Source organism: Homo sapiens, chromosome 12, assembly GCF_000001405.40.
Source record: "Homo sapiens chromosome 12, GRCh38.p14 Primary Assembly".
NCBI classification, from domain to species: domain Eukaryota; kingdom Metazoa; phylum Chordata; class Mammalia; order Primates; family Hominidae; genus Homo; species Homo sapiens.
The window spans coordinates 56,229,912-56,256,320 of record NC_000012.12 but is presented as its reverse complement, the minus strand read 5'-3'; the positions used below and the strand labels follow the sequence as shown (position 1 = coordinate 56,256,320).

Here is a 26,409-nt window from a genome sequence, read left to right as displayed (position 1 = left end):
TAGGGGGTTGGGATGTGTGGATCTCCACATGTGGATTTGTTTGGGAATGGATGTATGTGTGAGTGAAGATTTTCAGGGTCTAAGTTGGCGAGTCAGGTGGCTTGAAGAAGAGCAAAGGGTCCTTGTTTTAATCAGCAAGGTAAGGAAGAGCTTAAGTTCTAAGAAGATCCAGAAGATGGAAAGTAGGTATTCAGAGGCTAGGTATGTTGGAAAAATGAGAAGAGATTCTGTGCTGGGGAAGGGGCTGTAGATGCTATGCTGACCTATTCCTCCTTCCATTTCCTGTTGTTTTACCTCCTGCTCCCACTCTCTCTTTTGTCCCCTGCCCCTCAACAGAAGGTGCTGGGGCTGCTGCTGGCACATTCAGCAGATGTGAATGCCCGGGACAAGCTGTGGCAGACACCACTGCATGTGGCTGCTGCCAACCGGGCCACCAAGTGTGCTGAGGCTCTGGCACCCCTGTTGAGCAGCCTCAACGTGGCTGACAGGAGCGGGCGCAGTGCTCTGCACCATGCAGTGCATAGTGGGCATCTTGAGGTGAGGACTGTTCCCATCCAGGCCCAGCTGGGGCTTTCCCTTTTCTTACCTTCCTACTCACGTTTCCCTGCTTCTGGGCCCTCAAGCCTGAAGGAGAAGCAGCCCGGATGGTTATATAAACACTTAAGCTGAAGCACTAAATGAATGGTCAGACTAGATTAAAATTCTTAACTTGGACTTCAGGAGGTTGATAAAACCTTGGATTTTGCGTGGAAAATATTTGCATACACGCCTTTCTGAAGAGAGTCCATGTCTTTCAGCACATTTGCAAAGACTTACAAGAGTTTAAGAACCGGCCGGGCACGGCGGCTCACGCCTGTAATCCCAGCACTTTGGGAGGCGAAGGCGGGTGGATCATGAGATCAGGAGATCGAGATCATCCTGGCTAACATGGTGAAACCCTGTCTCTACTAAAAATACAAAAAATTAGCCGGGTGTGGTGGCGGCCGCCTGTAGTCCCAGCTACTCGGGAGACTGAGGCAGGAGAATGGCGTGAACCCGGGAGGCGGAGCTTGCAATGAGCCGAAATCATGCCACTGAACTCCAGCCTGGGTAACAGAGCGAGACTGTCTCAAAAAAAAAAAAAAAAAGAGTTTAAGAACCACCAGATCACCTGAAGAGACTCTCTTGTTTCCCTTAAAGTTCCAAATCTCTCCAGTATCTCCTCCTTAGTGCCTGCTTCTGCTGTTCCCTCGAGTCCTCCAGGTTGTTTTGCTCATGGAAAAAGGCATTAGGCTGCCTCAGCCTTTTCAGGAGATGAGGCCTCTGCTCTTAGGTAGGTTGAGGGCACGAATCTAGCTCTGAACAGGTGTCTTTCATATCCTGATGCAGACGGTGAACCTGCTCCTCAACAAGGGAGCCAGCCTGAATGTCTGTGACAAAAAGGAGCGGCAGCCTCTGCATTGGGCAGCTTTTCTAGGTGAGAGAGAATACACGGGAAAATCAGAAATTTGACATTTAGGATTCCTAGGGCAGGGATGTGGGGTTGCAGCCTTTGAAGAGAGGAGTGTAGGGTCTTAGAGTTTACCTTCTACTTCCTTTAGAGTGTCTTCTCTTTTCTCAGGGCACTTGGAGGTCCTAAAACTGCTGGTGGCACGGGGAGCAGACCTCGGCTGCAAGGACCGCAAGGGCTATGGGCTGCTCCATACAGCTGCTGCCAGTGGCCAGATTGAAGTGGTGAAGTACCTGCTTCGGATGGGAGCGGAGGTCAGGGCTTTGAGCTCTGGGGTTGGGAACTATGGGCAGCAAGTAGGAGATTATAGTCTGTTACGGAGATATGAGGTATTGGGATGTTGGTATAGTTTTGGGAAGTTGGAAGGACGTGGTAGAGAGGGTCTGAATAATGCTTACCTTAGCCATAGTGCCCTTAGTACCTTAGTACCTTGGGTCATAAACCCGAGAGGAAATGAGGCAGTCGTTGGATTTCTGGGATCTGGAGGCTACATGTGCTGGCTTCTACTTTGTTTAAACTGATACCACCTTACTCTCACCCCTGAATATCCAGATCGATGAACCCAATGCTTTTGGAAACACAGCTTTGCACATCGCCTGCTACCTGGGCCAGGATGCTGTGGCTATTGAGCTGGTGAATGCCGGAGCCAATGTCAACCAGCCGAATGACAAGGGCTTCACGCCACTGCATGTGGCTGCAGTCTCCACCAATGGCGCTCTCTGCTTGGAGCTACTGGTTAATAATGGGGCTGACGTCAACTACCAGGTGCCTGAAGGGATAAGGCTTAGACCAGTGGGGAGCGAAACTTGGATCTAGGGGTCCTGACTGTATCTGGATAGCTCTCTTGGGGAATTATCCACTTGCTTCCTAGGGTAATCAGACCTTGCCAGGGACTCAGGAAAGAGTGGGCTAAGAAGGTGCCATATGACCCTTTTGTCCTTAGAGATATGTCCTTGGAAGGGAGGTAGGGCATTCTCTGTGCTTTGCACTGGAAAAAAAAACAAAAACAAAAACCCACCATGTTTCCACAGAGCAAAGAAGGGAAAAGTCCTCTGCACATGGCTGCAATCCATGGCCGTTTCACACGCTCCCAGATCCTCATCCAGAATGGTATGGACCTGGGAGACTTTGTGCTCTCATCCCCTCCTCCCCCAAGGAACTCATTTCTAGAATCTAGGGAGGTTCCTAACTTCCTTCTCCTGCCCTCTTCCAGTAGGATAGGCCCTTGGAACTCTGACCAAGGGACCTGTGGAAATGGCCCTGCTCTGCCCTGCCCAGTCTCCTAAGGCCTAGAAACAGGATAAAATATGTAGAATCCTGGGCCTGGCACCTGATGCATACATAGTAGGCACTCAAATCATGGCTAGCTCGCGAAAGTGGTCTTAAGCCTGAGGTCTGCCTGAGCTTGTGTGTGTGCATCCCCTCACAGGCAGCGAGATTGATTGTGCCGACAAATTTGGGAACACGCCACTGCATGTGGCTGCTCGATATGGACACGAGCTGCTCATCAGCACCCTCATGACCAATGGCGCAGATACCGCCCGGTGAGTCAGGGCCCCGACTCCACTTCTGGGCTGCCCAGATCTGCACAGACTGCTCACATCAACCATGGAGGCACAGATAAGCTTGCCAAAGGGCACCTTGGAGAACCTCCTACCCTGACTCTAGGGTGGTGGTAGGTCACAGAAGAGGTCTTACTTGGTCCCTCCTTGACCCAAGGACTGAGTCCCTCAACTTCTCTCTAGGCGTGGCATCCATGACATGTTCCCCCTGCACTTAGCTGTTCTCTTTGGATTCTCTGACTGTTGTCGTAAGCTTCTTTCCTCAGGTATGTGCTGATGGGCTGGGGATTGGCAGGTGTATAGGAGAGCAAAGGCCTTTCCCTCCCTGCTGAACACTCTCAGATGTGACCTGTGGCTGTTCTGTGCCTCCAGGTCAGTTGTACAGCATTGTGTCTTCACTCAGCAATGAGCATGTGCTTTCAGCTGGGTTTGACATCAATACACCTGACAACCTTGGCCGTACCTGTCTTCATGCTGCTGCTTCCGGAGGGTGAGTTCTCTTTCTCTCTCCCATGCTTTGAGCAGGGAGCTGGGCAAAGGTCTGGGCCCCTCATTCTTGCCTGCCCAGATCTATTCCCCCTCTCACAATGAAAGCAGTCACAGCAGAAAGGGCTTGCTAGTCCCATCCTTCCTTAGCCCCACCCTGGGCCTGTGGCTTCCCTTTGAGGCTGTAACTCTCTTAACACATCTTTCTTTTAGGAATGTTGAATGTCTTAATTTGCTGTTGAGCAGTGGAGCTGACTTGAGGAGGAGGGACAAATTTGGCAGGTATGCTAATATGCAGGGGTAAACATAGGGAATATCTGATTAGAGAAACAAATGGTAGAGGGAGGAAGGGTTTAGATTGGAGACTTAAATAAGGAGAATGTTACAAAGCAGCATTTGGCTGCACATCTGATTGCATTCGTATCTGTCTCTGATTCTCTTCCCCACCCTCCTTCACTTCTTCCCCAGGACCCCACTGCACTATGCAGCTGCTAACGGTAGCTACCAGTGTGCAGTAACATTGGTGACTGCTGGGGCAGGTGTCAACGAGGCCGACTGTAAAGGCTGCTCTCCCCTCCACTACGCTGCCGCTTCTGACACTTACAGGAGGTGAGGCTACCAGTCTGGTCCTTCTCAGCCCCATTCACCTCCCTGAGCCTGGCCCTAACTTTCTCTCTCTCTTCCCCAGAGCGGAACCCCATACACCTTCCAGCCATGATGCCGAAGAGGACGAGCCACTGAAGGAGTCCCGCAGGAAGGAGGCCTTCTTGTGAGTAGCAGAGAGGGCCCCTGGGATGTGCTTTCCCCAACCCATGCAAGCTCTGGCCCTACTGTCCTCCTACCTAATCTGAACCTCTACCCTATACTGCTGCTGTCCTGCCGGTCAGCCAGCAGTGTGTCTTGAGCCCTCTGGGTGTAGTCCATAGTGGGCAAAGACAAAAGTATGAGATTGAAGCTCAGGAGCTTCAGGGGGAAAAAAAAACCCAAAAGTATGAGACATAGTTCCTTCCCTAAAGGAATGGATTTTTTTTTTTTTTTTTTTTTTGGAGACAGAGTCTCACTCTGTTGCCCAGGCTGGAATGCAGTGGTGTGATCTCAGCTCACCGCGCCCGGCTGGTCTTCTTGAGAGGATTAGAAAAGCTAAATGTACAAAATAATTTGTTTATTCCACAAGCATTAATTAAATATTTACTTACTAGGTTCCAAGTACTGTGCTAGATACTAAGGATAAAAGATGAGGCTGGGCGTAGTGGCTCAAGCTTGTAATCCTAGCACTTAGGGAGGCTGAGGTAGGCAGATCACCTGAGGTTAGGAGTTCAAGACCAGCTTGACCAACATGGTGAAACCCCGTCTCTACTAAAAATACAAAAAATTAACCAGGTGTGGTGGCACACGCCTATAATCCCAGCTACTCAGGAGGCCGAGGCAGGAGAATTGCTTGAACCAGGGAGGTGGAGGTTGTAGTGAGCCGAGATCACGCCACTGCACTCCAGCCTGGGCAACCGAACAAGACTCTGTCTCAAAAAAATTAAAATTAAAAATAGGCCGGGTGTGGTGGTTCACGCCTATAATCCCAGCACTTTGGGAGGCCGAGGCAGGCAGATCATCTGAGGTCAGGAGTTCGAGACCAGCCTGGCCAACGTGGTGAAACCCCGTCTCTACTAAAAATATAAAAATTAGCTGGTCATGTTGGCAGGCACCTGTAATCCCAGCTACTCGGGTGGCTAAGGCAGGAGAATCACTTGAACCAGGGAGGTGGAGGTTGCAGTGAGTCAAGATCACACTAATCCACTCCAACCTGGGCGACAGAGTGAGACTCTGTCTCCAAAAAAACAAATAAATAAATAAAATTAAATAAAAATTTAAAAAGGATGAATTGTCCCAAATTTCTGTCTTTCGAAAGCTAATAATCTATTGGGAAAGATAAATAAAAGGACACTTATGCATACTAATGTAAGATGTTAATGACGGGAAACTAGGTATAGGTTATGTGAGAACTCCCTGTACTATCTTCACAATTTTTCTTTTTCTTTCTTTTTTTTTTTTTTTAATTAATTTATTTTGTAGGTCAGGGATCTCTCTGTGTTGCCCACACTGGTCTCGAACTCCTGGGCTCAAGCAATCCTCCTGCCTCAGACTCCCAAAGTGCTGGGATTACAGATATGAGCCACCACACCTAGCCCACAATTTTTCTATAAATCTAATAATATTCTAAAACAAAAAGTTTATTTTTTGCTGGGCACGGTGGCACATGCATATATTCCCAGTTATTCAGGAGGCAGGTGCAGGTAAGGCAAGAGGATCATGCAAACCCAGGAGTTTGAGGCTGTAGTGCACTATGATCATGCCTATGAATAGCCACTGCACCCCAGCCTGGGCAGCCTAGTGAGACCCCGTCTCTAAAAAAAAAAAAAACCCACAAAAATCAGGTAGGCACAGTGACTCATGCCTGTAATTCCAGCACTGAGGTGGGAGGATTGCTTGAGCCCAGGAGTATGAGACCAGCCTGGCTAACACATAATGAGAACTCATCTCTATTTTATTTAATTAAATAAATAAATAAATTAATTAATTTATTTATTTATTTGAGATGGAGTCTTGCTCTGTCACCCAGGCTCTAGTGCAGTTGCGCGATCTCAGCTCACTGCAACCTCTACCTCCGGGGTTCAAGCGATTCTCCTGCCTCTTCCTCCTGAGTAGCTGGGATTACAGGTGCCTATCACCACGCCCAGCTAATTGTTTTTTTGAAGACCGAGTCTCACTCTGTTGCCCAGGCTGGAGTGCAGTGGCATGAACTTGGCTCACTGCAACCTCCACCTCCTGGGTTCAAGCAATTCTGCCTCAGCCTCCTGAGTAGCTGGGACTACAGGAGCACGCTGCCACGCCTGGCTAATTTTTTGTATTTTAGTACAGACGGGGTTTCACCATGTTGCCCAGGCTGGTCTTGAACTCCCGAGCTCAGGCGATCCACCTGCCTTGGCCTCCCAAAGTGCTAGGATTGCAGGCGTGAGCCACCACGCCCAGCCTAATTTTTGTATTTTTAGTAGAAACAGGGTTTCGCCATGTTGGCGAGGCTGGCCACGAACTCCTGACCGCGGGTGATCTGCCCACCTCAGCCTCCTAAAGTGCTGGAATTAAAGATGTGAGCAACCGAGCCAGGCCCCTGTCTCCATTTAAAATAAGTAAATTAAATAATTTTTTTTTAAGATTTATTTTTTTAAAAAGGACACTAAAATCCAAGAGGCTCAGCTATTACCTTCAGCAAGTTACTTCTCTATGCCTCAATTTCATCACCCACAGTAAGGATAAAAATAGTATCTACTTCATGGGATCTTTATGAGGATTAAATTATTTAATATACATGAAGTACTTAGAACTGTGCTTGACAGTAAGTGCTACTTTATTATTATTACTACTACTACAACTACTACTAAGGTATGAGAAGACTGCCAAGGGAGCACAGAGGAAGAGGCATCTTCCCCAGGGAAGGCTGGGAAAGGCCTCACAGAGGAGAGAAGCTGGGACTGAGTTTGAGATGAACAGGACTTATTCGGGTGGGCTGGGAGGAGAAAGCATCCTAGGGCAGGGGTTGGCGTGCCTGGAGGTGGGGAAAGCATGTTGGTCAGCAGAAGGCTGATAACTGAACATCATGCTCTAGGTTCTCTAGGAGAGCATTCAGAGGATAAAGGAGGGCATTGAAGCCAGAGGGGTTCAGGGCAGACCTTGAGAAGGTAAAGTGGGTCTGGAGCTGCCATTGAAGAATGGGTAGGATTTAGAGAACCTACCTAGAGCTGAGGACGGGTGGCGGCCAGGTAGGCCTGGAGGGCCTTGGTCCTCTCCTCTGGCCCTCCCAGAACTGTGCCCTCCTGGGCTGGGCCTGTCCCTGCCTCACAGTCTACCCCCGGCTCCCCAGCTGTCTGGAGTTCTTACTGGATAACGGTGCAGACCCCTCCCTGCGGGACAGGCAGGGCTACACAGCTGTGCACTATGCAGCCGCCTATGGCAACAGACAGAACCTCGAACTGGTATGTGTTGGGGCCCGGCCTGCAGGAGGGGAGGCAGGGGCAGGGCACAGGGTTTGTGGATTCCAAAACTAAGGGTTCAATCAAATGTGGTCTTTGGATCCAGAGGCTTAGTGGGGATTACTGCGAGTCGGGGACTGGGGTACTATCTTGGGAGTTCCAGAGTCTCAGCACCTACTTTCCTGTCCTTTGCAGCTCTTAGAAATGTCCTTTAACTGCCTGGAGGATGTGGAGAGCACCATTCCAGTCAGCCCTTTGCACTTAGCTGTGAGTCCCACGTCTTTTTTCTGTTGCCTTCCTTGTCCTACCTGTTCCCAGGCCCTAACAAAGGTGCCAGCACTTGTGAAGTTATCCTTCCTTCTGCCTTTTTGTGGGAGAGGGGATAAGCACAGTGCAGGGTAGGAAGCCTTAAGGGGCCCAAGGAGCTTGTCAAGGACTAAGACCTTGAGCTTCCCAGGGACCCCAAGAGCAGAGAAGGGGAAGGGAGGAGCAGGGAAGGTCCCGAGCTGTGTGCACTGGTTGCCTGCACCTTGCCAGGCCTACAACGGTCACTGTGAAGCCTTGAAGACGCTGGCGGAGACGCTGGTGAATCTGGACGTAAGGGACCACAAGGGCCGGACCGCACTCTTCCTGGCCACGGAGCGCGGCTCTACTGAGTGTGTGGAGGTGCTTACAGCCCACGGCGCCTCTGCCCTCATCAAGGAGCGCAAGCGCAAGTGGACACCCCTGCACGCTGCTGGTTAGTGCCCACTTTAGGCTGCTGCCCTACCCTTGCCATGCCAGATCCCTCCTGGATGGGAATGGGGCTGGAAAGTGGAGTAGGGTGAGGAGAATGGAGACTTCAAGCCCTGATTCATAGCTTCCTATCCTCAGAGATTTCTCCCTGGCCCAGGTCTTTCTGTAACATTGACCCCAAGTCCTTTAGGCTTGACCTTGCCTCCCTTCTTCCTCCTGGCCCTGCCCTGACACGGGGTCCCTTTCCCCTAGCTGCCTCTGGCCACACTGACTCCCTGCACTTGCTGATCGACAGTGGGGAACGAGCTGACATCACAGATGTCATGGATGCCTATGGACAGTGAGTGTGGGCCAGGGTGGGGTGCAGGTTTTCCAGTCCTTGCGGGATCCTCACTCCTCCTCCTGCCCTTCTGTAGGACCCCACTGATGCTGGCCATCATGAATGGCCATGTGGACTGTGTACATCTGCTGCTAGAGAAAGGATCCACAGCTGATGCTGCTGACCTCCGGGGCCGCACTGCCCTCCACCGCGGGGTGAGTGAGCTTCTAGGGGGGATTGTTTGCACATGGGCCTCAGTGTGGGAGCATGGGACTCACCAGCAGTAGGGAATCCAATTGTCTAGGAGGCAAGCCAGGATTTTGTGCCGTCTTTTTTCTTTTTCTTTTTTTTTTTTTTTTTTGAGACAGGGTCTCACTCCCATTGCCCAGGTTGGAGTGCAGTGACACTATCACAGCTCACTGCAGCCTTGACTTCCTGGGCTCAGGTGATTCTCGCACCTCAGCCTCCTAAGTAGCTGAAACTGTAGGCACATGCCATCATGCCCAGCTAATTTTTGTATTTTTTGTAGATATGGGGGTCTTACCATCTTGCCCAAGCTGGTCTTGAACTCCTGGGTTCAAGTGATCCCCCCACCTTGGCCTCCCGAAGTGCTGGGATTACAGGCATGAGCCACCAGACCCACGCTGTGCCCAGGATTTTATTGAGCTTTGTGCTTGCTCCAGGATGAGTTCCTGACGTCCCCAGCTGATTTCCCTGATATCTGTGCTTTGTTTATTATTATTATTATTATTATTATTATTATTATTATTATTATTATTATTATTATTGAGATAGAGTCTCGCTCTGTCACCCAGGCTGGAGTGCAGTGGCGTGATCTCGGCTCACTGCAACCTCCGCCTCCTGGGTTCAAGCAATTCTCCTGCCTCAGCCTCCCGAGTAGCTGGGATTACAGGCGCCTGCCACCACGCCTGGCTAATTTTTGTATTTTTAGTAGAGACAGGGTTTCACCGTGTTAGCCAGGGTAGTCTCAATCTCCTGATGATGAGATCCACCCGCCTTGGCCTCCCAAAGGGTTGGGATTACAGGCGTGAGCCACTGTGCCTGGCCAATATCTGTGCTTTGTAATCACGTACAACTGAGTGCTCACCACCCAGACTCTACCTGGGATACCCTGCTGGCCCCAACCCATCGCATAATGTCGCCACAACCTAGATCCTCTTCCGTGACCACCTGTCCTAAGCTGCCTCCTCCTCCCATAAGATTTTTTGATCCCTTAGTCTCCTTCTCTCCATTTAGTCTTTCCAGTATTAACTCCAGAGCTCCAGTATTAACTCTTAGTATCCTGATTGTCTGCTGGCATAGAGAGAGTCAAGGAGGGAGATGTGGGTCCCTAATACTTAGAATTGTTGTTGTAAAGGGCCGGGCATGGTGGCTCACGTCTGTAATCCCAGCACTTTGGAAGGCCAAGGCGGGCAGATCACCTGAAGTCAGGAGTTTGAGACCAGCCTGGCCAACATGGTGAAACTTCGCCTCTACTAAAAATACAAAAATTAATTGGGCATGGTGGTGCATGCCTATAATCCCAGCTACTTGGGAGGCTGAGACAGGAGAATTGCTGGAACCTGGGAGGCAGAGGTTGCAGTGAGCCAAGATCGCACCATTGCACTCCAGCCTGGGTGACAGAGTGAGACTCCGTCTCAAAAAAAGAAAGAATTATTGTTGTAAAGACAAGGATTGAGGCCAGTGGCTCATGCCTGTAATCCCAGCACTTTGGGAGGCCGAGGCAGGCGGATCACGAGGTGAGGAGATCAAGACCATCCTGGCTAACGTGGTGAAACCCTGTCTCTACTAAAAATACAAAAAAATTGGCCGGGCATGGTGGCACCTGCCTGTAATCCCAGCTACTTGGGAGGCTGAGGCAGGAGAATCGCTTGAACCGGGGAGGCAGAGGTTGCAGTGAGCCGAGATTATGCCACTGCACTCCAGCCTGGGCGACAGAGCAAGACTCCGACTCCAAAAAAAAAAAAAAAAAAAAAAAGACAAGGATTGGAGCCCTGGAAGTGGTTCTTACTCCTGAGCCAGACTCCAGCAACAGGCCAGTGGAAAAGGAGGAGCTTTTCATCCCCCTCACACCCCCATGTTACTCACAGGCAGTGACTGGCTGTGAGGACTGCCTGGCTGCCCTGCTGGACCACGACGCATTTGTGCTGTGCCGAGACTTTAAGGGCCGCACGCCCATTCACCTGGCCTCAGCCTGTGGCCACACTGCAGTACTGCGGACCCTGCTGCAGGCTGCCCTTTCCACAGATCCCCTGGATGCCGGGGTGGATTACAGCGGATACTCGCCCATGCACTGGGCCTCCTACACTGGTACTAGACTGGGGCCTCCACAGGCACAGGAGCATGTGTTGGAGTGTGTGTAGAGGGGGACAGGTGGGTTGTTGGGGGGGACCTGGGTTGATCTGAATCTGGAAGTGGAATGGAGTGTCAAGACACAGGACAGACAGGGAACCTTGCCGTTTTTCTCCATCACTACTCTTCCTTCCTCGTGCCCAGGACATGAAGATTGTCTGGAGTTGTTACTTGAACACAGCCCGTTTTCGTACCTGGAAGGAAACCCCTTCACTCCTTTGCACTGTGCAGTGTAAGTCCCTTCTGCTGCATCAGCCCTTCTCGCGAGGGCCCATGACTTGAGCTTAGGACAGGTAGTCTACTTCCCTTGTCCTTCCTGATGACCCCTCCTCCCTCTTCCTCTAGGATTAATAACCAAGACAGCACCACAGAGATGCTACTGGGAGCTCTGGGTGCCAAGATTGTGAACAGCCGAGATGCCAAAGGACGGTGAGTGATGGAAGACTTGGGAAGAATCCCAGTTGCCTCTGGCTTCCCCTTTCTGCTTGGGCAGTATACTCTTCCCTATTTTAATCTACCCTGATCCCTGCCTTACAGGACCCCCCTTCACGCCGCTGCCTTCGCGGACAATGTCTCTGGGCTCCGGATGCTGCTGCAGCATCAAGCTGAGGTGAACGCCACTGACCACACTGGCCGCACTGCGCTCATGACGGCGGCTGAGAACGGGCAGACCGCTGCTGTGGGTGTGTAGGGGCCACTTGTGGAAGGGAGGAGCTCCCCTGGGGCATTTGCAGGATGGGTCAGCCCTGCCTGTGGAGGCTGGCTGGGGCTGGGGTTCAGAAAGCAAGAGGGTTGTCTTTGGATGTCTCGCCATCTGCAGACGGGATGCAAAGTGGAGAGCCAGGATGGCTACTGCTCTGGAGGGAGGGGTCAGTCCCTCTATCACATTTCTCTCGTAGAATTTCTGCTGTATCGAGGGAAGGCAGACCTTACTGTGTTGGATGAGAACAAGAACACGGCCCTCCACTTGGCTTGTAGCAAGGTACTTACCTGAAGTGATTGGGGGACTGCATAAGGGGCAGAGCTTGATGAAGAGAGGTAAGTCTCGGTTGCAGAGGGGACTGGGGCAGAAGTGAGGATTGTCCAGCCTATCCGACTGGTTGGGCAGCTGTTTGTCCTCCTGTTACTCTCCCCAACTCCTGCCCTGCACCCTGCCACATTTCTACTTCACAAGTCTCCACTCTCTGTTCCCCTCCCTCAGGGCCATGAGAAATGTGCCCTCATGATCCTGGCAGAAACCCAAGACCTTGGCCTTATCAATGCTACCAACAGTGCGCTGCAGATGTGAGTGCCTGGGGAAGGGGGCTCCTGGCTGGGGGAGGCCAGTGGGTGATGAAAGAGTGGCCGCTGTTCAGAGGCTCTCTGGAGCCCATTGTATTTGTTCAGCACCCTTGCCACCCTGTCTGGAGGTGGAAGGGCAGCTTAGCATCAAGCTCCTTCTTTTTCCTTTTTTCCAAGGCCACTCCACATTGCTGCCCGGAATGGTCTAGCTTCTGTGGTACAGGCCCTGCTGAGTCATGGGGCCACAGTGCTGGCTGTGGATGAAGAAGGTGGGTGGGGTCTGGGGCCCCATGCCTCTCTTGGGTTTGGGGTCAGGGACATTCTTCAGGAGGTGACTTCTTAATCTTGCTATACATGGGATTTTCTTCCCAAGGGAACTCTTCAGAGCAGGGAGCCCACACCAGTACTCTGGAGTCTCAGAGGGGAGCCTGCAGGGTCAGGAGGACTCCACACCCTAGGCTTTGACTCCCATGCCCGCCCTTTAACCCGTACTTAGAGAATCTGCCTGTCAGCCTTCCTGGGCCCTCGTCACCCTTGGATTCTGCCGCTGCTGGGTACCTGCCTGCCTTGGCTCCCTCCACAGAGAAGAGACTTCAGGGCTTGGGGGAGGCTGGCTAGGATACAGGACTCTATGCCTCAGTTCTCCCCCTTGGCCCTGCAGGTCACACCCCAGCACTGGCCTGTGCCCCCAACAAAGATGTGGCAGACTGCCTGGCCTTGATCCTTTCCACCATGAAGCCTTTCCCACCCAAGGACGCCGTCAGTCCTTTCAGCTTCAGCCTGCTCAAGAACTGCAGCATTGCAGCCGCCAAGACGGTGGGTGGCTGCGGCGCCCTGCCCCATGGGGCCTCCTGCCCCTACAGCCAGGAGCGGCCCGGCGCCATTGGGTTAGATGGCTGCTACTCTGAGTAGCCCCCTCCAGTGTCCCTCCCCCGCCGGTGGCTTGATATCTAATTCTATTTATTTAGAAAAAGTCTAAACATTTAGGGCACTTTAAAGGAGAACACGACTGGGTGGAGGGGGCGGAGGGGAAGGAAGCCCTGGGGAGCAGCTGCTCACCCCTTTGCCACACCATCTTGGCCTGGCAGGGGTCTGGGACTGACAGGGAGCACCCCAGGCCCTTGGTACCCCCAGGGCGACCCCTTCTGCCAAGTGTCCCAAAATGATTGCTAAATGCCTGGCTCCCCCACTCTTTGACTCCATCTCTTGGTTCCCTCTTTCTGCTGCCAGCTCCCCCGACTCTTCCCTGGGGACTCCTCTCTGTGTCCCCCTTCTCCCCTGCCCCTACTGCCAGGCAGATCCCCTCTTCTTCCATACCCATCACTGCCTCCCTGCTCGGCCGGTCCCTCCATCCCCGCAGCAGTGAGAAGCCTTAATTTCTGGTACTGTGTGAGCACTCTGGGGGTGTCCCCCTCCCCCCTTCAGGGGCAGCTAGAGGATGAGGGGGGAGGATATTTAGCACTGGGGCCTGGAGCTTTTTCCCCACTTCTGTACCCTATCACCCCTAAAGTTCAAATGCAAAACACTTGAAGCAGCAACTACTGTACCTGGGCCCCAATCCTGCACTCTCCCCTGGCTCCTCATATGCAAATCAAGGGCTGGTTCTGCCCCCACAGCCTGCCCCCTCCCCATTCCCTCCCACTCCTAGCCTGGCCCCTAACCACGCACTTTAACCTTGCTTCTTTCTTTTATCTTCTTTTGGGAGGGCAGAGCCTGTGGTCATTCCTGCCCTGGCTCTCCTTCCCTTGAACTTTGAGGCTTGTCATGAATTTTTAAGTAAGCGTTTTATCCTTTAGGGGAAGAAACAAATTAATTTCCTGCCCATTTCAAAACCACAGCCCTAGTATGTCCACTGTGTTTCAGGCATGTGTTTGCATGTATATGGAGGGAGGGACCATGTTCTTCCTCCTGTGCCGCCAAGCCCATAGTTTATCTGTGCTCCCTATCTGCCTCCACCTTCCGTTATGTCCAAGAGTACCCACTGCCCCAGTCACTCCTGATCTGAAGCCAAAGATGGTAGGAGGGGCAGGGCCGACAAGGGACCGTGGCTACTCGGGACCCAGGCTTCCCCTCCAGTGTGAGGAAGAAGCTCTGACCTAGAGAGAGATGAATAGGTACTGGGGCTTGGTCCCTGCCTTCCCAGCAGGGAGGAAAGATGGGATTGAGCTGGGGGCTGCACTGATAAGATTTCTAAAGTCGCACCCCAAAAGCCAAACTGGGCTGGAGTGAAGAGGGGGCAGTTTTCTCTCTAAATGTAGCATTGAATTTGGCCCTGGTCCCTTTAAGTGCTCTGTCCACCCATCTCCTAGTGCAGCCTCCTGGACAGTTGGACCCACTCCTGCAGCCCAGTGTTCCCTTCCTCACACTCAATACCTCAGCCAGGGGCCAAGACACAGAACTTGAATAGAGGTCATGCCCCCTCCGCCCCCACACTGCATCCTTGCCCAGTTTGGCTGCCATCAGTATTGTCCCCTGAGAACTGGACAGGCTTCGTTTACACAGTACAGGGTCTCCCCTGAGGGGGGATCCTTCAGCCTCCCTCCCCTACTCAAGTTTGCTTTATTCACAGTCTTACCCATCTTTTAGTTGTATACCCTGAATGTCTTGCCACCCTTGTCAAGGGTGGGCTGAGGGGAGGGGGGCGTCCCAGGGACCCCCTCCCTCCCCAACGGATACCTTTAACCATACCTCATGCTGGTTTCCAGAAGCCTGGGGTGTTGTCCAAGTCCTTATCTTTTCATGGTCCCTTTTGATCCCCTGTCTCTCTGTGTTTTGCTTCTCCCAACCCTCAGTTCCTAAATCATTTCAAGGCTTCCAAATGACCATTATTGATGAGAAGGATTGTGCAGCTTTTAGTTTTTATTTTTATTTTCAAAGCCAAAGGGCCTTGTGACGCCCCTCTTGCCCACCTCCCTCCACACCGTGTCCTCCCCTATATGACAATCAATGTGACCTCTCTTAAGGGCTGCAGCCCCCATCCCCAACCCTGCTGGCTCTGCAAAGCTTGCCTTCCCTTCAATTCTCTCTCCTGAAATCTTCCCATTCCACCCCCTCCCTCTCATCTTGGTGCTGGGAATTAGGTGGTGGGGGGCAAGGGGAGTGAGAAGATGGGTCCTCCAGAGAGAACTTGCCGGGTGTGAGTCGTGTTCTCCTTTCGTGATGTTTGGTGATGGCGGGAAGCGTCTGAGTGTCAGAGCCCCGTTGTCTTGCTAGATGAGATTTCTGGGGGCTGTCTGCGCCCTGCTGCCCTCAGCGCACTGTCAGCAGTGCTGGGAGGTGGTGGGGAGTCCTCTGTCCCTCCATATGTGGCTGTGAGGAAGCCTGGGGGACAAGCAGCCTCCTCTCCTTATGCCAAAGGAAACCCCACGCCCCACCCTGGGCTCCCCAGCCCTAGTGTTTTTTGAAGCATTTTGACCATTCTCATGGCCACTGCATATTTATTTTAATGTTAAGATTTTTTTTAAACCTCTTTGACTTAAACGGGTGTGGAGAAGTAAAACAGGCAGAATGCCCCCCAGTCTTCATGGGGGAGGGCGGGGAGGGAACAGCGCCTTCCCTTTGCCCTCCCCCTCCCCCCTCTCCCCACCGCAGCCCTAAAGCACTTGCTTCAAGTAATAAGCACTTTTGTGAAAAGGCCTATTTTAAGCGAGGACCCTGGGAGCAGCCCCAGGTCCCAGCAAAGGAAACAGAGCGAGGGCGACATAGGAGACAGGGAAACAGACGTGTGAATCAGAGGGTGAGATGGAAAGAGCCAGTTTTTAGTTTCTGATTTTGGGGGAGCTATTTCTGATTGGGCGGTGGCTCTGGTAGGGTCATATACTATCCTTCAGAAAAACGAATGGCACAAACCGTGGGTCCCAGGAAGGACCAGCAGACCCGGGTCACTGCCACTGTCCACTGAGACTGACGGGCCACCTCCCCTGCCCCGTGGCCCCCTGAGCCATAGGACTGCTGAAAACCACTGAATGTACAGCCCAGGTTGGGGTGGGGAGCAGCCCCTGGGGGAGGGGGCTTCTCCTTTTGTTTGGTGCTGTGGGGCGTGGGAGAGAAAAGACTGAGGGACTGCCACCCCACGTAGATGTGTTTCTTGGGGTGGAGGGGCTGAGGAGGGCCTACCTCCCTCTCCAACCCCAGCCATGGCCCCTCTTCCTTCCTCACCCCTATCCGTTTTGACTGTAAGTCCAGCTCACCTTTGCCTTCAATATGTAACCAAAGGAAAACTCAATACTGTTTCCACCACTGTCTGCCCACCCGAGCACCTTCTTACTCCCTGGACCTAGAAGGGGAGAAGAGGCTGGAGGTGGGGTGGATGGGGCCAGAGTGAACGGTTCTACAGCTGTATCCCCAGAACCTCCTCCAGGGTCTTGGAAGGAGTCCTGAGAGGTGGGATTGGGGCCGGGCTGGCAGGGCTGAGTTTGCGCACTGTGTATCTTATGCACATGAGTGTTTTTGTCTAAATGACTCCAGTGACTGCTCCAGCGGGGAGGCCCCTTCCTCCTTCCCTCTCAGCCATTTCTCACCCACTTCCCATACCCAGTGTTCATCCCCTACCTCCCCTTCCCACCGCAAAGGAAAATAGCCTTACAGACCCTAGCCCAGAAACCCTACTCCTGGGGCAAACCAGTATGGGCCCCCATCCCGCCTAGTTTGAACCCTACCTTTTAAGAAGGAGGGATAAGGAACAAAGCAGCCCCTTCCCCTCTAATTGTGGTGGCTCCAGCCTTCTGCAGCCTTGACCCAGGTTGGGCAAGGGCGGAGGTGAGGAATCTTTGAGGACCAAGCCCAGTGGTCTGGGAATCGGGAGGTAGAGAGGGAAGGGTCTGCCTTGGGGGCTCCCTCCTCCCAACCCAACCCCTAGAGAAGCGACCAAATCCCAGAGATGGGGTGAAGCTGGGGTGGGGAGGGTCTGCTCTTTGAATTACTTGAAGGTACTGACTCCAAGGCTGCTGTTGCCCACTTAGGTGTGAGGGGGACACTGTCACTGCATTTGGGAGGGCAGAGGGTGGCGGGTAACCAGAGGATCCACCTTGGCCCTCACCCACTCCTGCTAGGCCCTTTCCCTGGGGAATCTGGAAGCCTGACTTTGCCCCCAGGGAAGTTGGGGACCGCCTTCCCTCCCTTCTCCACCTCTCACTCTGGGCACCCTCTCCAATTGCACTAAAGTAGCTGTTGTGCCAGTCTGCCCCCCACAAGGGGGGAGGTCTCTGCTTCCAGTCTTCTTCCCCCGCTGCCTCCGCTCCCACCCTGGACAATCTCCTTGTTTCCCTTGTGTTCCTGGATAGCTCAGCTTTGTATGTGTGTTTGGGGGGTGGGGGTGGGTTCTGGCTTGAGTGGGTTTGGCAGGGGTTTGGGAAGGGTTAGGGGAGGATGGAGGATGAAGTCTCCTACCCCCTTCTCCAGCTCCAGGCCACAGAAGCCTGGGAAGGGAGGGTGCCTACTCTCGCTGCTGTGTGTCTTGCAGATGTGCCAAAATGGGGGTGGGTGGGAGGGGAGGGTGCCTGGCAGAGCAGCCCCTGGGGTGGCTCTCTCAAAGCAATATAGTTCCCCTGCGGGGGACAGCAAGACAGGGGAGAGGGTTGGGGTGGGGACCTGGGGGTTCCCCATGTACAGCTATGTATATTCAGGGGTGTTCTCCGTCTGGTACCCGCTGTGGGCATCTATGTGTGTGTGAACCTCCCCTTCCCCATGCCCTGCATGACCTGTGATGCTGCAGACACCACCATCCTGTGTGCAGGTGTGTGTTGGGGGGCACGGAGGGGCATGTTCCATGTCCTGTTGCACCCTCCACCCTGTGACCCATGTACTCGGTTGTAGGAAGTAAAGAGAACTGAGCACAATTCACTGGATTCTAGTGGAATCTTTCTCTAAGCAATTTTCCCATTCCTGCCTCTCCCTGCCCCGGAACCACCTGTGGTGCTAGTGTTGGGATCGGGGGCGTTTAACGCTGGTGGGCAGCAATAAGGGGCAGATGTGCCCAGATGCCTGCATCCCCAGGGTGCCGAGGGCAGCAGGAAAAAGTGGGGACCTCGGTGCATTTGCCCCACCCCTCCCCTCCCTGGGCTAAAGCACAATGTTCTCCCCGCAGATTAATGACCCTGCACCCTCCAGGCCCCTACTCACATCCTCCCCCAACCGGCTTCGGGTCCTCCCACCACACTCTGGTTTTCTATGCTGTTTTGGTGCAAGTACAACTGTCGTAGTCATGGCTTTGGGATGGGTTCTGTTTATTAAAATCCTATTGCTCCTACTGGCCCTGTGTCCCGCCTCCATTCCTGTGGTTGGGGGGAAGGAAGGGCAACCCGACCCCTTTCCACTGGCCCCATCAGCCCTCAGTGGTCACGGGCAGTAGCCGCTCCTCCAGCAGGGTTATGGCAAGCATGAGGCCGCCCCCCAGCAGCAGCCCCAGCCCCTGCAGGAGCACATGGGGCGTAGGCAGGGGCTCCGGAGGACGAAGCAGGGCTGGTAGCTGAAAGAAAAAGAGGATGTCAGGATTCTGGCCTTGCCCCTGACCTCTCAACTCCAGAGGAATGGTGTCAGAAAGCATCAGCAGCCCCCACCCAAACACCTTAGTCCCTTGTTTCTCAGACTTTTGCGGGCCTATGGTCTGACGCCCTTCCAGGAGCTAATGGTAGAGGCGGAGGGACTGCTACCTCCCTCTCCACTCCCGCCTCCCCACTGCCCTTGATTTCTCTGCTCTACCCGACATCTCTCACCATGTCCACAAGGGCCACATAGAGGAAGACCCCAGCAGTGACCCCAAACACCCAGGGAGTGAGGGGGACAGGGCCCAGGCTGAGCCCCACCCCCAGGACTGCACCCCCCAATCCCAGGGCTCCAGACACGAGGCTCAGCAGCAGCAGCCGCCGAAAGGACAGCCCTGACTGGAGCAGCATGGCAAAGTCACCTATTGGAGACAGAGGACAGGATGGGAGGGAGTAAGCTGGGGTGCCCCTCATCCATGCCACCCACCAGCCTCCAAGCTCTACCCCTTGGAGCTATCTCCTTTCTGGAGTCCACCCCACCCTGCTCCTGCCATTCCTACCCAGTTCGTGGGGCAGCTCATGGCAGAAGACCGCTAAGGTGGTACTGAGGCCGCTGGAGAAGCCATCAGAGAAGGCAGCACCTGGGGCCAGCAGGGTCGGAAGTTGTCAGTCCAGAAGAAAAGTCTCCTCAGAAGCAGGTTCCTGTGTTCCGTGGTCCTCCCGTCCTCTCCCCATCTTCCTGACGGCCCTCTCCTAGCCCCAGCTGATAACTAGGAGCCCTGGCCTCCCCTCGGACCTGCTTCCCTCCGTTCCCACCCCTCACACCTATGGCCAGCCCATCAGTGAGGTTGTGTAGACCATCTCCCAGGAGGACCATCCACGTGATATCAGTGCCACCCTGGTGCCCATGACTGTGGCCTTGGTGCCCAGGAGGGGCCAGAGCTGGTGGGTGCTGGCTGTTCTTCTCCCTCTGGCCCTGAGCCCCTGGCTCTGCGGGAAGAAGCACAGGACAGTGTTGGTGGCTGCAAGTAAGGACTGTGAGCTTGGAACCTACTCTTCAAATTTTCTCCTCTAGTCACCTGGAGCTGCCTGTAGGGGCTGAAGGGCCATCCCACTGCCATTCTCCGGATCCAAGTTGCGTGTTTCGAGATTCCTTCGTTTTCGCCTGCAGCATCTCTGAAATAGGAGGGCATCCCTCCTGGTGGAGGAGGCAGCAGAGCCAGGGACTAAGGGGAAGCCAGGCCACAAGCTGGGAAGATGAACACCTGGTTCCACCTCTGGCACCTGGGATGTTCTTTGGCCTCTACCTTCTTCCCAAGTTGGCACCTCCCCTCTGTTTCTTGTTGACTTGAGCTCAGAATAGGATGCCATTTGGCCAGAAGTCCTGGGTCTGTGCTTAAGGAGCCCCTACCCACTCCCTGTTAGCCGATAGGTCCTGCACACCAGGCAAATGTCAGAGATCCAGGAGCACACACTGCTCCTCATCTCTTGGCTTTTTGGCCCAGTTTTGTTGTTGTTGTTGTTGTTTTTGAGATGGAGTCTCGCTCTGTCACCTGGGCTGGAGTGCAGTGGTGCCATCTTAGCTCGCTGCAACCTCCACCTCCCAAGTCAAGCGATTCTCCTGCCTCAGCCTCCTGAGTAGCTGGGATTACAGACACGCACCACCACGCCCAGCTAATTTTTGTATTTTTAGTAGAGACAGGGTTTCACCATGTTGGTCAGGCTGGACTCGAACTCCTAACCTTGTGATCTGCCCGCCTTGGGCTCCCAAAGTGCTGGGATTACAGGCGTGAGCCACCGCGCCCGGCCTGGCCCAGTTCTTGACTGGGACTCTGGTCTCAGCAGAAGGAGGAGAAAAGGGTATCACTCACTGGCCTGAGCCCTCGGTGCCGCAAAAGCCCCAGCATGTTCTCCAGCACAAAGAGCAGGAAGAGGCCTCCGAGCACTGACAGCCCCGGGCCCAGGTCCTTCTCTGGTAGTCCGCCAGGTCCTGCGTGCCGCCCTTCTTGTGCCTGACAGAGAGAAGGTCAGGGCAGACTCTGGAAGCCCCTATACCCAACAACATCCCCTTGCATGGATTGTGGCAAGCCTTCGCTCATATGCTCTACTAGAAGGCAGCTGTGGGCTGAAGCCAGGATCTGGGAGTAGGATATGGGAGCTGATGGAAAGGCGGAGGGGATGTCCTATGGCTGGGGACACCTTAGATCCATGGAGGCCAGGGGTACAAGGAAGGGGCTTCACATACATGCGGTAGCAGATGTAGCAGTGCATCCCCACAAAGAGTGCCCACCGCCAGGGCCCCCAGGAAGCCCAGCAAGGGCCGTAGTAGACGAGGTCCCAGGAGCCGCAGCAGCAGCAGGGATAGGGGAGAAGGGAGGCTGAGCAACAGGACTGCCAGGGCACTCTGAAGCAGGGCTGGGGAGAATCAGGGGCTGAAGTTAGGTCAGGGCAAGAGGAGGGTCCCACACGTAAGGTGGAGCAGAGAGAACACTACAAGGAGAGGCAGGACCCCAGTGAGCCTCCTTTTTGGCATGGGCCCCACTTCCAGGATTCAGGGTGTCCCCCACCCACTCCTACTTGCTGACCAGATAGTAGATCCCCTGGGGGTGCAGGGGCCGGAGCGCCGATGCAGACGCGGCTGTCGATCTGATAAAGCAGGGCTGGGCACAGCAGAGCAAACTGACGAGGGGTCAGAGGAGCAGCGGGGCTCAAGCCAAAATTGACCAGCAGCTGGGAGCCGTTCAGACACTGGAGAATTGAGGGTCATACATTGGAGAATCACCAGGAACTATGACTCAGATCTTTAACACCTGGCCAGGTGTAGTGGCTCACACCTATAATCCCAGCCCTTGAGAGGCCCAGGCGGGTGTATCATCTGAGGTCAGGAGTTTGAGACCAACCTGGCCAACATAGTGAAACCCTGTCTCTACTAAAAATACAAAAATTAGCTGGGGATGAGCCGGGTGCGGTGGCTCACGCCTGTAATCCCAGCACTTTGGGAGGCTGAGGTGGGTAGATTGCCTGAGCTCAGGAGTTCGAGACCAGCCTGGGCAACATGGTGAAACCCTGTCTCTACTAAAATACAAAAAATTAGCTGGGCATGGTGGCGTGCACCTGTGATCCCAGCTACTCAGGAGGCTGAGACAGGAGAATCGCTTGAACCCAGGAGGCAGAGGTTGCAGTGAGCCGAGATTGCACCAGTGCACTCCAGCCTGGGCGACAGAGTGAGACTCCATCTCAAAAAAAAAAAAAAAAAATTAGCTGGGGATAGTAGTGAACACCTATAATCCCAGCTACTCGGGAGGCTGAGGCAGGAGAATTGCTTTAACCCAGGAGGTGGAGGTTGCAGTGAGCCAAGATCACGCCATTGCACTCCAGCCTGGGTGACAGAGTCAGACTCTACCTCAAAAAAATATATATATATATATTTAACACCTGTCCTTCCATTGCATAGACTCCTGGGTCTCTCCCAGGGTCCCCTTTGCTCCTACTGGCAGGTACCTTGGGGACTAGGGCCAAGGGTACTTATAATCAATGTGTATTATTAGTGAATATTCAGTCCAATGCAGGTATTCAATTTGATGCAAACTGGGTGCTAGTGAGCATTGTCATCATCTTCCCTGCAAACTCTGATCATTTCAATCATTTTGTTGATTTGATAAATGAAGCTGGTTGGAAAACTAGAGCTCTCCATGCCAGAATCTTAAAAGGGAAAAGACCCTGAAATGCCATCTAATCTCCCTCTCAACAGCCCTGTCGATGTTCATCCAGCCTCAGCTTGAATGCTTCCTGCAATGGGCACTCACTGGACCTCCATCAGGGTTAGGCAGCTTTGTCTGCCCTCTGGTGTAAGTGGAATATATTCTCTGTCTTTCTGGATGAAGACAGCCATCCATTCCCTGCAGGTCTCCTCTCCAGGTGACCATCCAGATCCTACCCTGGGCTGCTTCTCTAGATTCTCTGCTTTGCCATCTATTCCCCTAAACTGAGTCTTGGAGCTCTGGATATGGGCTCACCTGCTCTGATCCCAGAGGGAACATAGTTCACTATTGAAATAACATCCCCTAAGACCACAGTGAGATATTTTTTTTTTATTTTTTTATTTTTTTTATTTTCATTTTTGAGACAGAGTCTCGCTGTGTTACCCAGGCTGGAGTGCAGTGGTGCAATCTCGGCTGACTGCAATCTCCGCCTCCTGGGTTCAAGTGATTTTCCTGCCTCAGCCTTCCGAGTAACTGGGATTATAGGCATGTGCCACCACGCCCAGCTATTTTTTTTTTTTTTTTTTTTTTTTTTTTTTTTTTTTTGAGACAGAGTCTCCCTCTTGTTGCCCAGGCTGGAGTGCAAATGGTGCCATCTTGGCTCACTGCAACCTCTGCCTCCCAAGTTCAAGCAATTTTCTCACCTCAGCCTCCTGAGTAGCTAGGATTACACACACCTGTTACCACACCCGGCTAATTTTTGTATTTTTTAGTAGAGATGGGGTTTCACCATGTTGGCCAGGCTGGTCTCGAACTCCTGACCTCAGGTGATCCACCCACCTCGGCCTCCCAAAGTGTTGGGATTACAGGCGTGAGCCACCACGCTTGGTCCACGTTGGGATTTAAAAACAAAACAAAACAAAAAACTACTGATTATTTAAACATTTCAGGCCATCTAATCCCATGGCTCCTTCCCCTCTAGAGACCGTCAGACTCACATCCTCATTCAGGTGGTCAGCCAATGAGTGGTCCAGCAACAGAAGCCTGTGAAGGAGGTCCAGGCCCGAGGGGGCTGGCCCACGGGGTAGGTGAGGGGCCTTTGACTCTTCCAGGTCACCCCACCCTGAGGGACCCAGAGGCATCCCTGCCCAGACATCCACACTCAGCTCAGGGTTCTGTGGCCTGGAATGGATGAGACAGCAAGTCAGCCTCCCTTGTGTTCTCTATCAACCCGCTTTGAGAGGCTCCCAGGGATTTTAGGGGGAATGGGGGGACTAGCCACTGACTGGAGATCCTGGGACCCAGAAACCATGGAATGTCATTCTTAGGAAGATCTGTGAGTTGTCCATTTTCTGCCACTGGGGGGGACAGAAAAAAAAGGACGACAACCAAAAGGGCTACGAATGGCTGGGCACGGTGGCTCACGCCTGTAATCCCAGCACTTTGGGAGGCTGAGGTGGGTGGATCACCTGAGGTTGGAAGTTCGAGACCAGCCTGACCAAAATGGTGAAACCCCGTCTCTACTAAAATTGCAAAAATTAGCCCGGCGTGGTGGTGTGTGCCTGTAATCCCAGCTACTCAGGAGGCCGAGGCAGGAGAATCGCTTGAACCGGGGAGGCAGAGGTTACAGTGAGCCAAGATCACACCACTGCACTCCAGCCTGGGCGACAGAGCGAGACTCTGTCTCAAAAAAAAAAAAAAAAAAAAAAGAAAAGAAAAGAAAAAAGAAGTCTACGAATTTGGAGCCAAATCAGCCCAGAGACACTGAACAGTGATACTAAGAGCAAGAAATTTAAGGGCTTAGAGATTTGGAGGAGGAGAGAATTAGAAGGCAACGGAGGGCTAGGGTGGTAGTTCACATCTGTAGTCCCAGCACTTTGGGAAGCTGAGGCAGGCAGATCGCTGAGCTGAGCCCAGGAGTTTGAGACCAGCCTGGGCAACACAGCGAAACCCTTGTCTCTGTAAAAAATTTTTAAAATTAGCCGGCTGTGGTGGTGTGTGCCTATGGTCCCAGCTGCTCAGGAGGCTGAGGTGGGAGGATGGCTTCAGCCTGGGAAGCAGAGGTTGCAGTGAGCCGTGAATGTGTCACTGCACTTTAGCCTGGGTGACAAAGCGAGACCCCCAGTCTCAAGAAAAGAGAGAGAAGGCAATAGAAGCATGAGAGGTTTTGAAGAGATACCAAGGAGCTCGGTTCTGAAGAATTTGTAACTCCAGGGATCTCGTGAGGAAGCCAGAACGAGGCAACTGGGGGCAAGCACTGAGAGGACCTGGGAGATGTGGCCCTGTGGAGTGGAGGAAGGGGTCAGTACCTGTGTGTGGAATTGTCTGCAGCTGGGGATGCAGCCCGTCCAGTCAGAGGCCCATGCTGTCCCAGGCGAAGCCCCTGAACTCGGCCTAGCCCCAGGCTGTGGAGAAGCCGCGCCAAGCCCCCTGCAGTCAGCGTCCCATTCTCGCCGTACAGGCCAAACAGCTGGGCCAGGTAATGGTTCTGCTCCTGCTCAGCAGGGCCCAGGTTGGGGACTGAGCCCCCTACCCAGCCCAAGACGACCCACACACAGAAGCCGGCCAGCAGATGACTCACTGGGGACCCCATCATTGGTGAGGGGAATAGCTTAGGGGCTCAGGTTCTGGCTCCTATTCTCCCCGAAACATCCTGAGGACTGTGCCCTGGAAGAATGAGGAATGGGCTGGAGCTGCGCTCTGCTCTCCAGCTCAGGTCCATGGGGGAGCCAGAGCTCCTTGCACCTGCTCCCCACCGAGTCCAGCAGCAGCCCCTACTGCAGCCTTCTTTCTCCCTTCACACTGCCTCCTGCGGGAGCAGCCTCTTGTTTGCTGGTTCCTGGAGCACCTCCCTGAGTCAGAGCTCTCCTCATACTTCATCCAGAGCTGACCGTCCATTCCTTGTCCCCTAAACCCCACCCCTCAACTTTGCCCCACCTCTTTATCCCCCCTCAATCCCCAGGGCCTCACCCCTACTGGCAACATAAGAGCTGTCACCTCAGGTCCCCTATTAGGCCTTGCTGTAGACGTTAAGCAGTTCCTGAGTCAGGGAAGGGGGAATCCAGGCTTAGCCTCCAGGTGTCCAGGTGGATCGGAGGCCACGTCACATAGAAGGCTGAGATGGACATGCACCCCCTCCTAGCCCACCTGCCTTGGGGCGGGGTCAGGGGTGGGGCCAGTGTGTGAAGGCTCACATAAGAGAGGAGTTAATGGTTCACTGGTCTCTGGGGTAGGGATCAAAAGTCAGTCTCTGCTGGGCCCCTGGGTAGGGAGGGGCCACCCTCTGCCCTGGGAAAGCCACATGGCTAAGGAGAACCTGGGCCTAGTCTTTTTCCTCTTAAATAATTCACCCTATCCTTAACACCATTAGTACCATTTTAGCCCTTTCCCTCATGTACTTCCACCCCACCTACCTTACAGTCTAGCACTAAACTTCATCTCCAACCCCCATCCCCATATTCCTTGGGAAGGTTGGACCCAGGTGTCCCTAACCTGGGGAGGAGGGGGGAAAAGGCAGATCAGTGGCAAGCCCAGATGCATGCATGGGAAATAAACTGTTCTTAGCAGTTTCTCACCCCAAGAAGAGAAAGAGCCAGAGCTCTAGGGATCGATGACCAAGAAAGGGGAAGCCCTGCGGGGGGAGAGGAAACAAGGATCTGGGCTCTCCTCTGATGTCTGACCTGGCCTAAAATCAGGCAAGCAAAGTCTGATCGGGGTGACTGGTCCAGGGGGTTGAGGTTGGCATTACCTGATAGCAGGAGACAAGGACACCCAGAGGAAGGGGGACACAACCTTCTTGGTTCCAGCTGGGGGGGCAGGCAGGCAGGCGGGCAAGGGTCACCTGCAGGGAGGGGGTAGGGGAGGGACACTACCTTAAAGGGGCAGGTCTGCTTTGCCTGGGCCTCCTTACCTGTAACCTATTTTCCTTCCACCTTCTAGGGACACCCCACCTTCCCAAA

General features: G+C 53.5%; 2 protein-coding genes across 14 annotated transcripts in view, besides 5 other annotated features; one reads left to right on the top strand and one right to left on the bottom strand.

Annotated features, from left to right (window-relative positions):
- Window positions 1-18,514, top strand: part of ANKRD52 (ankyrin repeat domain 52) — a 20,578-nt gene extending 2,064 nt beyond the window's left edge. For all 3 annotated transcript variants that reach the window (NM_173595.4, XM_017019183.2, XM_011538197.3), the window contains 24 exons: window positions 337-537; window positions 1,369-1,456; window positions 1,601-1,743; window positions 2,042-2,254; window positions 2,521-2,599; window positions 2,919-3,033; window positions 3,235-3,317; window positions 3,424-3,541; window positions 3,751-3,819; window positions 4,006-4,146; window positions 4,226-4,306; window positions 7,451-7,562; window positions 7,755-7,826; window positions 8,097-8,298; window positions 8,547-8,634; window positions 8,711-8,828; window positions 10,725-10,944; window positions 11,131-11,218; window positions 11,332-11,415; window positions 11,524-11,669; window positions 11,886-11,968; window positions 12,188-12,270; window positions 12,445-12,536; window positions 12,929-18,514. In NM_173595.4, coding sequence (NP_775866.2) covers window positions 337-537; window positions 1,369-1,456; window positions 1,601-1,743; window positions 2,042-2,254; window positions 2,521-2,599; window positions 2,919-3,033; window positions 3,235-3,317; window positions 3,424-3,541; window positions 3,751-3,819; window positions 4,006-4,146; window positions 4,226-4,306; window positions 7,451-7,562; window positions 7,755-7,826; window positions 8,097-8,298; window positions 8,547-8,634; window positions 8,711-8,828; window positions 10,725-10,944; window positions 11,131-11,218; window positions 11,332-11,415; window positions 11,524-11,669; window positions 11,886-11,968; window positions 12,188-12,270; window positions 12,445-12,536; window positions 12,929-13,179 — 2,970 coding nt within the window. In that variant the 3' untranslated portion in view covers window positions 13,180-18,514. The remainder of the gene's footprint in view (window positions 1-336; window positions 538-1,368; window positions 1,457-1,600; window positions 1,744-2,041; window positions 2,255-2,520; window positions 2,600-2,918; window positions 3,034-3,234; window positions 3,318-3,423; window positions 3,542-3,750; window positions 3,820-4,005; window positions 4,147-4,225; window positions 4,307-7,450; window positions 7,563-7,754; window positions 7,827-8,096; window positions 8,299-8,546; window positions 8,635-8,710; window positions 8,829-10,724; window positions 10,945-11,130; window positions 11,219-11,331; window positions 11,416-11,523; window positions 11,670-11,885; window positions 11,969-12,187; window positions 12,271-12,444; window positions 12,537-12,928) is intronic.
- Window positions 11,754-11,923: an enhancer, noted in NCBI's record as "experimental_29672 CRE fragment used in MPRA reporter constructs". NCBI's record gives its function as "activates a minimal promoter by MPRAs in K562 erythroleukemia cells, with activity observed for both the introgressed and non-introgressed 12:56638267 variant alleles {active_cell/tissue: K562}" and the evidence as "EXISTENCE:reporter gene assay evidence [ECO:0000049][PMID:34662402]".
- Window positions 11,944-12,113: an enhancer, noted in NCBI's record as "experimental_29671 CRE fragment used in MPRA reporter constructs". NCBI's record gives its function as "activates a minimal promoter by MPRAs in K562 erythroleukemia cells, with activity observed for both the introgressed and non-introgressed 12:56638077 or rs74673257 variant alleles {active_cell/tissue: K562}" and the evidence as "EXISTENCE:reporter gene assay evidence [ECO:0000049][PMID:34662402]".
- Window position 12,028: a transcriptional cis regulatory region, noted in NCBI's record as "Neanderthal adaptively introgressed variant 12:56638077 (GRCh37/hg19 assembly coordinates) or rs74673257 in the experimental_29671 CRE". NCBI's record gives its function as "modulates activity of the experimental_29671 enhancer by MPRAs in K562 erythroleukemia cells {active_cell/tissue: K562}" and the evidence as "EXISTENCE:reporter gene assay evidence [ECO:0000049][PMID:34662402]".
- Window positions 13,046-13,215: an enhancer, noted in NCBI's record as "experimental_29670 CRE fragment used in MPRA reporter constructs". NCBI's record gives its function as "activates a minimal promoter by MPRAs in K562 erythroleukemia cells, with activity observed for both the introgressed and non-introgressed 12:56636975 variant alleles {active_cell/tissue: K562}" and the evidence as "EXISTENCE:reporter gene assay evidence [ECO:0000049][PMID:34662402]".
- On the bottom strand, window positions 18,475-26,270 carry SLC39A5 (solute carrier family 39 member 5). 11 transcript variants are annotated; one of them, XM_047428714.1, is made up of 13 exons: window positions 26,199-26,270; window positions 26,026-26,081; window positions 25,421-25,601; window positions 24,760-25,117; window positions 23,449-23,632; window positions 21,335-21,497; window positions 20,995-21,164; window positions 20,621-20,761; window positions 19,829-19,925; window positions 19,575-19,739; window positions 19,310-19,390; window positions 18,981-19,171; window positions 18,475-18,733 (listed from the first exon to the last, which is right to left on the bottom strand). In XM_047428714.1, the coding sequence occupies exons 4-13, from the start codon at window positions 25,044-25,046 to the stop codon at window positions 18,590-18,592; spliced, it is 1,623 nt and encodes a 540-aa protein (XP_047284670.1). In that variant the 5' UTR covers window positions 25,047-25,117; window positions 25,421-25,601; window positions 26,026-26,081; window positions 26,199-26,270; the 3' UTR covers window positions 18,475-18,589.
- Window positions 19,198-19,416: a silencer, noted in NCBI's record as "fragment chr12:56630689-56630907 (GRCh37/hg19 assembly coordinates)". NCBI's record gives its function as "represses an EF-1alpha promoter that drives an FKBP-Casp9 reporter gene in an ReSE screen in phorbol 12-myristate 13-acetate-treated (for megakaryocytic differentiation) K562 erythroleukemia cells {active_cell/tissue: K562(+PMA)}" and the evidence as "EXISTENCE:reporter gene assay evidence [ECO:0000049][PMID:32094911]".